The 10,568-nt window shown below is 44.6% G+C and overlaps 1 pseudogene, besides 1 other annotated feature; it reads left to right on the forward strand.

Annotated features, from left to right (window-relative positions):
* Positions 1,561–2,062: an enhancer, noted in NCBI's record as "OCT4-NANOG-H3K4me1 hESC enhancer chr11:59295867-59296368 (GRCh37/hg19 assembly coordinates)". NCBI's record gives its function as "activates a minimal SCP1, AML or CMV promoter by ChIP-STARR-seq in naive H9 embryonic stem cells {active_cell/tissue: H9 hESC(naive)}" and the evidence as "EXISTENCE:reporter gene assay evidence [ECO:0000049][PMID:30033119]".
* Positions 4,865–5,878, forward strand: OR4D7P (olfactory receptor family 4 subfamily D member 7 pseudogene; annotated as a pseudogene).

Here is a 10,568-nt window from a genome sequence, read left to right on the forward strand (position 1 = left end):
TAGTACAGACGAGGTTTCACCATGTTGGCCAGGCTGGTCTCAAACTCCTGACTCAAGTGATTCGCCCACCTCGGCCTCCCAAAGTGCTAGGGTTACAGGTCTGAGCCACTGCACCTGGCCTTTTGCTAGTATCTCAATTTAAAGTAATAAAAATGGAATAAGGACCAGCATAAATATAATTAGTTGAGGGCATTTGGGGCCGAGGAAGAGCATGAGCACAGATATGGTCCAGCAAACTTCAATTTGGAGGAACAGCACTGTATGGGCAGGGCAGTAACCAAAAAAGAAGAAAGAAAAACCAAGAAAGGAAAGGAAAGTGTTGGAGCCAGGTAAGAAGGTAGGAACTGGGGTCAAATGCTAGAAGTTGACTCGGAAGACATTAGCATACCTTTAAGCAAAGGTACCCAAGGCTTACTGATTAATCGTTAAGCATATGAATGTCAAGCTCAGTTTTAATCCTACTTCTATCATTTACTGACCCATGAAAATCTTGACATTAATACACGGAAGTGACTGCAAATCACATAAATGCATGCTGCTAGATCCAAAATAAGTGTATCCTAACTCAACCTCACCTTAACTAGATCCCCAAAATGCCTGTGACCTCTCTAAAGCCACCAAACTAAGAATTGTGATGGAAGGGAGTTCAGAGAAGAAACAGGAGCCCCAGCTGATTGTGGTTATAATATTTTACTATTGCAAGCTCTACAAAAACATGTGACCCTGTGAGCATATTGCTAGGGCACTTCCCAGGGCCTTGGGCTCCTCAAATAAGGGGCTACAAGGCTTAAGCTCCATTAGCCTCATGAGAAATCCAATTTTAATCCTCTAGCCAGACCAAGGCCTCCTCAGAACTGGAACCCCTGGGACTGAGTCAAATGTACTAACATAGGTCTGTCATAGATTTCATCTTTTTAGAATTTCATAATACAGGTACCAGTGAAGTGCTGCATAAACCACATTCAAAACTAAGATTTTATTTCTAGACAAACCTGACCTGTGAATATATTGGTGCCAGGTAATCTCTTTAACAAACAAATCACATTTACATTCAAAATGGCATCTGCAGGGGTGAGATGCAGTTTTCCACTCGATCCTGGAATGGCAAGAAGAGGCCCTTGTGCCTCAGGGGCACTAACAGGTTGCTTCCTTCTAACAGACGTCCCTGGGGATAGGAGCCCTCCGCTGTGATTTAAGGTGCAAAAAACTGACTATTTCAATCTGCTTGCTCCTTCTTTACATTTGGGAATTTCTAATTCTTTGAATGTTATAGCTAACTCCAGGCTAACAAAGACCTCCCTTCTTTCCACACTTTGTTAAAAATCTTTCTCAAGATAGGGCACAGTGGCTTATGCCTGTAATCCCACCGCTTTGGAAGGCTGAGGCAGGAGTTCGAAAAAATAAATATTCTACCATTGCTCTATGAATGTAGCAAGGTTGGCATCCAAATCTCATGACTTCCAAGATGGTGTCTTTTCTCTATACCCTATTACTTCTGATTATAGTTCAACACAAAAGCAAAAAAACAAAACAAAAAAAAAAAACTTGTATGCATTATCTTGTGTTCTGATTTTTCTTAATACTTTTAAATATTTACTCTGAAGAAAATACCTGGCCTTTTAAAAACGAAAAATGTTTGAAAATGATGACATTCGCTGAGTTATTGATGGATTAATAATTAATTGGGAGTCAGCCTAGAAAATTGGCTTTGTGTTGCTTGAACTTCAAAGGGAAGATCATAGGAGGTAAATTAGCTGAGTAGAAGTTGTGCTCTGATGAAACAATGAGAGGTAAAGTACTGTGAAATCCAGAGAGCTCAGCGGTTAGCAGCAGGACCAGACATTGGCCTCAGTATGGGCAGAACATGGAGGGAAAGTGTACAAAGGCACATCAAACATACACACAGTGGGACATTAGTTAAAGCGGCAAAAACAGATTTTATTCAGTAACTACTGACAGTAGGGGAATGAGCTGGGCTCCATTGTGATTCGTGCAGAGGTGGTTCGAGCATTTTACAGGGAGAATGAATGAAGAATGGGCGAGTGTGAGGTCTCAATAGAGTCAGAGAAGTGAAAAATTGCAAACGGTTCGTCAGTGTCAATGCGATGAGGCCAGCTGTGTCTGCTAGCTGGCAATCATCAAAGGATTCCACCCTCCCACAGAGACTGGAAGACAGAGGCTTCATCCTTTTTGATAATTACATTTCAAAGGAATGGCTCCCAGGTCCTTAAGAAAGACATTTCTGAGTTCTAAGAGATGCATGTTCACAATCATAAGCCCTTTTTTGTAAATGCTCTAAGTAAGGGAGGTCAGAGGCCTATCATCAGGGTTCGGGTAAAACAAACCGTAAATTCTCCTGGCAGTATTGAGCTTACTCAAGCAGGCATTTAATGGGGGGCTGCGGTCATTCTAAGGAAACAGCCTTATGCTGCTAGAAGCCATGTGAGAGTTTGGTCTAGTTCAGGGGTTTCGACGGAGCTATATGCGGAGAGTTCTGCAGTTCTCAGGAGCATGAGGTTTGGGGGATAATGGAGATACTCATTATCCTAATTGTAGTGTCAGTTTCACAGGTGTGTGTGTGTGTAAGTGTGTGTGTGTGTGTGAAAACTCATCAAGTTGTACCCTTTAAATATGTGCAGCTTATAATATATAAGTTATACTTTAGCAAAGCAAGGGGCAATTTCATTTTAAGCAGTTTGCAAAACACAAAAGACATCCAGAAGCCTGTCAGCACCCAAACTGGTATTTATTTTAAATGTTCTTTTTAAAACAGAGTGGAAAGCAGGAGGAGTTAAATTAGGATTTACAAGAAGTGATGTTTGGCAATAAAAGTTAAAAAGAGTGTTTCTTTACTTTGTACTCTAATTGTTTTATCCTTTGACTTATCTACTTTTTAAAAGTTAATATCTTTTTTTTTTTTTTTTTTTGAAACAATGGTCTCACTCTGTCGCCCAGGCTCGAGGGCAGCGGCACAATCTCGGCTCAGTGCAACCTCCGCCTCCCGGATGCAAGCAATTCTTGTGCTTCAGCCTCCCAAGTAGCTGGAACTACAGGTGCCCACCACCACGCCCAGGTAATTTTTTGTATTTTAATACAGACTAGTTTTCATCATGTTGCCCAGGCTGGTCTGGAACTCCTGAACTCAGAAAATCTACCCGCCTTGGCCTCCCAAAGTGCTGGGATTACAGGCAGGAGCCACCACGCACAGCTTTTATTTCTTTTTTTTTTTTTTTTTTTTTTTTGAGACGGAGTCTCGCTCTGTTGCCCAGGCTAGAGTGCAGTGGGACAATCTCGGCTCACTGCAAGCTCTGCCTCCCGGGTTCACGCCATTCTCCTGCCTCAGCCTCCCGAGTAGCTGGGACTACAGGCGCCCGCCACCACGCCTGGCTAATTTTTTGTATTTTTAGTACAGACGGGGTTTCACCGTGTTAGCCAGAATGGTCTCGATCTCCTGACCTCGTGATCCGCCTGCCTCGGCCTCCCAAAGTGCTGCTGGGGCTACAAGCGTGAGCCACCATGCCCGGCTGGCTTTTATTTCTTAAAGCAGCTTTAGATTCACAGAAAAATTAAACTGAAATTATAGGGTTCCCATATACCTCCTCACCCCTCCAACACCACAGTTATCCCTCATTTGTTAACAGTTGAATCCATATTGATACTTTTTTTTTCTTCTTTTTTTTTTTTTTTTTTGAGATGGAGTCTCGCACTGTCGCCCAGGCTGGAGTGCAGTGGTGCGATCTCGGCTCACTGCAAGCTCCACCTCCCGGGTTCACACCATTCTCCTGCCTCAGCCTACCGAGTAGCTGGGACTACAGGCGCCTGCCACCACATCTAGCTATTTTTTTTTTTTTTTTTTTGTATTTTTAGTAGAGACAGGACTTCACCGTGTTAGCCAGGATGGTCTCGATTTCCTGACCTCGTGATCCGCCCACCTCGGGCTCCCAAAGTGCTGGGATAACAGGCGTGAGCCACCGCGCCAGGCGTTTTAGTTTTTTTGTTTGTTTTGTTTTGTTTTGTTTTTTGAGACAGGGTCTCTCTCTGTCACCCAGGGTGGAGTGCAGTGGTGCAATCTCAGCTAACTGCAACCTCAACCTCCAGGGGCTCACTTGGTCCTTCCCACGTAGCTGGGACTACAGACGCGCACCACTACACCCAGCTAATTTTTAGTAGAGTCAGGGTTTCACCATGTTGGTCAGGGTGGTCTCAAACTCCTGGCCTCAAGCGATCCACTTGCCTTGGCCTCCCAAAGTGCTGGGATTATAGGCGTCAGCCTCTGCACCAGCCAGAATTCAGTAAATTTTCAAGAGGAACAGAGAATATATAACATTTTGCAAAATGAAAGTTTTAATAGAATTATATGAATACACTGATACATATATGCTTCAATTAATTATACTCTGGGAAGCCCACTCTTCGATGTGCTCTGAGAAAACTCAAGAAACACCGTCCACCGGAGACAGTGCCCTGAAGTGTAGGCATCTATGTTTAAAAGGGAAATAAACCCTTAAAATAACCCCAAAGTGGCGAGGCTTGGTGGCTCACGCCTGTAATCCCAGCACTTTGGGAGGCCGAGGCGGGCAGATCACGAGGTCAGGAGATTGAGACCATCCTGGCTAACACGGTGAAACCCCGTCTCTACTAAAAATACAAAAAATTAGCTGGGCGTGGTGGCAGGCACCTGTAGTCCCAGCTACTCGGGAGGCTGAGGCAGGAGAATGGCGTGAACCCGGGAGGCGGAGCTTCCAGTGAGCCGAGATCGCGCCACTGCACTCCAGCCTGGGCAACAGAGGAAGACTCCGTCTCAAAAATAAAAAAAATACCCCAAAGCATACAACTCACATTTCTTTTGTTTTGAATGATAGGCCTTCTATAACAAAATCTCTCCCCAGGTGGTTGAAGAACAAGAAGAAACATGATCCCATTGAGCAGGGAAATTACACCAGGGTGAAGGAATCTCTTTTTTCAAGGACTGACCCAGTCCCAAGAGCTGAGCTTGGTCTTATTTCTTTTCTTATTTTTTGTGTACTCAGCAACTGTGCTGGGTAACCTCCTCATCATGGTCGTGGTGACCTGTGAGTCTCGCCTTCACACCCCCACGTACTTCCTGCTCTGCAATCTCTCTGTGTTGGTTATCTGCTTCTCCTCCATCACTGCTCGGAAGGTGCTAATAGACCTTTCAAGCAGAAAGACCATCTCCTTCAATGGTTGCATGACACAGATGTTTTTCTTCCACCTCCTCGGTGGGACAGACGTTTTTTCTCTCTTTGTGATGGCGTTTGACCAATACATGGCCATCTTCAAGCCCCTGCACTGTGTGACCATCGTGAGTAGGGGACAGTGCTCCCCTACATCGTGAGTAGGGGGCGTGAGTGAGGCGCAGGCCTCATCATGGCTTCCTGGGTGGGGGGTTTGTCCACTCCATTGTGCAGGTATTTCTGTTGCTCCCACTCCCTTCTGTGGACATCATATGATTGATGGTTTCTACTGTGATGTCCCCCAGGTCCTCAAACTTGCCTGCACCCACACCTTTGCTCTTGAGGTCTTAATGATTTCCAATAATGGCTTGATCTCTATGCTGTGGTTCATCTTTCTCCTCATATCTTACACGGTCATCTTGATGATGCTGAGGTCTCACACTGAGGAAGGCAGGAGGAAAGCCATCGCCACCTGCACCTCCCACATCACTGTGGTGACCCTGCATTTCGTGCCCTGCATCTATGTGCATGCCCAGCCTTCACTGCCCTCCCCACGGACAGAGCTGTCTCCATCACCTTTACAGTCATTATTCCTGTCCTGAACCCCATGATCTACACCCTGAGGAACCAGGAGATGAAGTCAGCCTTGAGGAGGCGGAAGAAAAGACCTTCTGGAAAGGGATAGATGCTACGAAGTCCAGATTGGAAAATCAGAACTGAAAAGTATTTCTTCATAACACAATAGAAGGCTTCAATCAATAGGCCATCTAGAGGCCAAAGTTTTATCTTTGTCCTAGAGCAGAGTCCTCTGATAAGGCTTTCCTGAGTCCATCATCACTTTAGGGTTTTCTCACAGTGAGGTTGTTGGCAGCTTAGAGTTTCAGATCTCTAAACTGTCAGCTCCTAAAGGAACTTTAAAGCTTCTATCACCCAAACACCTCATTTTACAGGTGAGGAAATGGAGCCTGAGAGGAAATTATCTCTCAATTCTTGAGCTATGGCTGTACCATGTGTTGCCCAGGCAATCATTAGTAAAATCACTTCCAGGGACCAGGAGTCAAGGCTATAAAATCCAGTAACCTCTCCCTATGAAAAATATTGGTTTTCCATTGCTAACCTTAGATGATTCAAGTTCCGTTTTTCTAAGGAAGCCTCTGAATTCCCGTTGCCAAAGTTAAGAAGTTTCATATTTTACCAAAGATCGCCCAGCACAGTGGTTCATGCCTATAATCCCAGCACTTTGGGAGGCCAAGGCAGGAGGATCACTTGAGTCCAGGAGTTTGAGACCTGCTTGGGCAACATAGTGAGAGGTCATCTCTACAAAAAAAAAAAAAGTGTCAAATGAGCCAGGCATGGTGGTTGTACCTGTAGTCCCAGCTACTTGAGAGGCTGAGGTGGGAGAATAGCTTGAGCCTGGGAGGTGAAGGCTGCAGTGAGCCAAGATCGTGCCACTGCACCACTCTTGCCTGGGTGACAGAGCAAGACCCCATCTCAAAAAAAAAAAAAAAAAAAAAAACTTTTAGCTAATTAACGGCAGAGGCACAGCTAGATCTGTCATATCTGACCTTCATTTAAGTGCATGTTTAACTACTGCTGCTGCTTCATGCAGGGTTTGATGCAGTCTGAAACAAGCTCATTTATAAAAATGCCTCCTCTATTGTAGTGTCATGAAAGGCACTTGGTTGTCCTTTTCACCTGACCAAATAGTACGTATTGCAGGGCTTCAGATCCCTCTAAGAATTTCAATGTCATTTTACGGCCATTCATTCCTGGCCAGACCTCGAGGGAGGAAGAAACCCTATCCTGCCTGCATCTCTAGAACATGCCTAATTCAGCTGGGCACGGTGGCTCATGCCTGTAATCCCAGCACTTTGGGAGGCCGAGGCGGGCAGATCACCTGAGGTCAGGAGTTCGAGACCAACCTGGCCAACATGGTGAAATCCCATCTCTACTAATATATAAAAATTAGCCAGGCATGGTGGCAGGTGCCTGTAATCCCAGCTACTTGGGAGGCTGAGGCAGGAGAATTGCTTGAACCCGAGAGGCAGAGGTTGCAGTGAGCCAAGATCATGCCACTGCACTCCAGCCTGGGCAACACAGCGAGACTCTGTCTCCAAAAAAAAGAATATGCCTAGTTCACATGTCCACAAGATGCAAAGGCTTAAGAAAACTCTTTTCATCATCCAGGGACTGATTAGCTAGAGGATCACAAAGCAGCCCCTTTCAAATTCCTCCTCATTCCTCTTTCTATCCTATTCTTTAGCACCTCCTCCTTAACCTAAGGGAATAGAAAACAAGACTAAATTCCAACTGGTCTCCTGGAAATCTAGTTCTTTGTGAAGCAAATAGTTGAAATTGATAACAAACTAAAACTTAGACTGGAAATGCTGACTGACCTGTAAAATTCCAGTCTTCCCTCCCAGGCAATCCTGACGTACCTGTGGCTGGAACCATGTAAGAGAAGTAAAGAACCATTTGCTCAGTGTGATTGAGGAGGAAACACAAGCAAGGAAAACTTGCCTTAAAGCATGGCCCATCCCAACCAGGCGTAACACTGCCCACTGTGTCTCTGGTAGTGCTGGCCTGAAATTCCTGCTCTTGAGATATTTGATAAATTACACACGGTTCACAGAGGCCATGTTACATACAATGCCACAGCTCCACAAATCATATAGTTCCAGTCAAAGCAACCTGAAAAACATGGTAGCTGCGATGGAGGGGTTGGAGGGGCAGGAGCATGCCTAAGTCTGTTCTCAGTAATGCCTCTCAAGGGATTAACTTCACATGGTCTAGGTGACTTCTGAAAGGCCCCAGGGGTCATCCAGGGTAAAGGAGATGTAGAACAGAAAAGCTTCAGTGGGTGGACCTGAGGGGAACAAATCCAAGCCCAGAGTGTCAAAGGTAGCCTGAGGGGCCCAATTACAGAGGATGGAATGCTTCAGCACAGTGGCCTAGTCAAAGCAAGGCAGACACTGTTGACAAAATTCACACTTGCTTATGTATGATCCTGGACACATGGGTGCCTTATTAAAGTTAGAGTATGTCTTTATTTTTTATTTTATTATTAATATTATATTATTAATTTGAGGCAGGGTCTTGCTCTGTCACCCAAGCTGGAGTACAGTGGCACAATTACAGCTTGCTACAATCTCCACCTCCTGGACTCAAGCCATCCTCCCACCTCAATCTCCCGAGTAGCTGGGAATACAGGCACCCTAGCACCACAGCTAATTTTTATATTTTTCTGTAGAAATGGTGTTTCACCATGTTGCCCAGGCTGGTCTCAAGCGATCCACCTCCCAAAGTGCTGGGATTACAGGCATGAGCCACCACACCTGGCCAAAGAATATCTTTTTAAGAATCTGTATTTCTAAGGCTGGGCGCAGTGGCTCACGCCTGTAATCTCAGCCTGTAGGCCCAGGAGAGTGGATCACTTGAGGTCAGGAGTTCAATACCAGCCTGGCCAACATGGTGAAACCCCATCTCTACCAAAAATACATAAATTAACTGGGCATCATGGCAGGCACCTGTAGTCTCAACTACTCAGGAGGCTGAGGCACAAGAATCACTTGAGCCCAGGAGGCAGAGGTTGCAGTGAGCCAAGATGGCCTCACTGCACTCCAGCCTGTGTGACAGAGTGAGACTCCATCTCACAAAAAATAAAAAGGAAAAAAAAGAAGAAAAAAATATGCATTTGCTTCTTTTGAGTGCTTTATTTCTGCCTAAAATTAAACCATTCATTCACATGTGACTTCATTCTTGAATTTTCTATCTAATTACCCACTGAACAAACTTCAGGTACCATTCAAACTTCCCTTTGAACCAGAGTTCAGAAACATGTTCAGCCATATCCATTATGTTATCAAGAGTATGCAAATTAAAAAAATGTTATCAAGCAACAATTGCTTAATAACAATCGCAATTTTATCAATCCTTATGTTATCAACAGTAGCAAATATTTTCTTTCTTGTGAATGATTTTTATTGTTAAAAAGTCATGCCTTTCAGGCTGGGGGCGGTGGCTGATGCCTGTAATCCCAGCACTTTGGGAAGCCGAGGTGGGGAAATCACCCAGGAGTTTGAGACCAGCCTGGGCAATACAGTGAGACCTCATCTCAGAAAAATAATCATGCTTTTCATAAAAATTAAACTCCCGGCCCGGCGCGGTGGCTCACACCTGTAATCCCAGTACTTTGGGAGGCCGAGGCCGGCAGATCACGAGGTCAGGAGATGGAGATCATCCTGGCTAACAGGGTGAAACCCCCTCTCTGCTAAAAACCCAAAAAATTATCCAGGCGTTGTGGCAGGCACCTATAGTCCCGGCCACTCGGGAGGCTGAGGCAGGAGAATCACTTGAACCCGGGAGGCGGAGGTTGCAGTGAGTGGAGATTGTGCCACTGCACTCCAACCTGGGCGACAAAGCAAGACACCGTCTCAAAAAAAAAAAATTAAACTTCTCTTCCTGAGTTTATCCTAACATTTAGGCTTTACTTTTTAGAGGCAAATAATGAATTGAGAATTCACAAATGACTATTCAGTTTCATACGCATATTATATATATATATTTAATATGTTTTATATATATATACTATGTGTGTCCTGTGTATATTCATGTGTATGTTTACATGCATACTACTTAATATGAGAAAAATATATAACATATATTTAATTCTAAAATACATGCACACGTATGTACACTTTTTACTTTGGCACTATTCCAGGATATACACACACACTCTGTGTTTCCTAAGACTATGGTGCTTTTTTTTTTTTTCTTTGAGACAGAGTCTCGCTCTGTTGCCCAGGCTGGAGTGCAATGGCGCGATCTCGGCTCACTGCAACCTCCGTCTCCCGGGTTGAAGCGATTCTCTCCCGCCTCAGCCTCCTGAGTAGCTGGGATTACAGGCACTTGCCACCACGCCCAGCTAATTTTTGTATTTTTAGTAGCGATAGGGTTTCGCCATGTTGGCCAGGCCGGTCTCAAACTCCTGACCTCAGTTGATCCGCCCGCCTCGGCCTCCCAAAGCTCTGGGATTACCGGCGGGAGCCACCGCTCCCGGCCTCAGACTATGCTACTTTGGAAATGAGTAGTATACATAAAAATCTACTCCCCATAAAAAATGTATTCCTTCTTCAAGGTAATGAGAATTGATAAAATTGCGATTGTTATTAAGCAATTGTTGCTTGATAAAACTTTTTTAATTTGCATATTCTAATACAGGGTCATTTAAATTTTTGCTAAATTGTTCCACATTTCCCACACTGAAAGGAAAATGAACTTCTAGACAATCTTCTCCTCTGGATGTAAACAGAAGCAGCGTCTACCAAGTAAAATGTTTTTGTAATGTTTCTTCACCACGAGAGGGAGCTATTT

The sequence above is a fragment of the Homo sapiens genome, chromosome 11 (genome assembly GCF_000001405.40).
Source record: "Homo sapiens chromosome 11, GRCh38.p14 Primary Assembly".
Taxonomy (NCBI): Eukaryota; Metazoa; Chordata; class Mammalia; order Primates; family Hominidae; genus Homo; species Homo sapiens.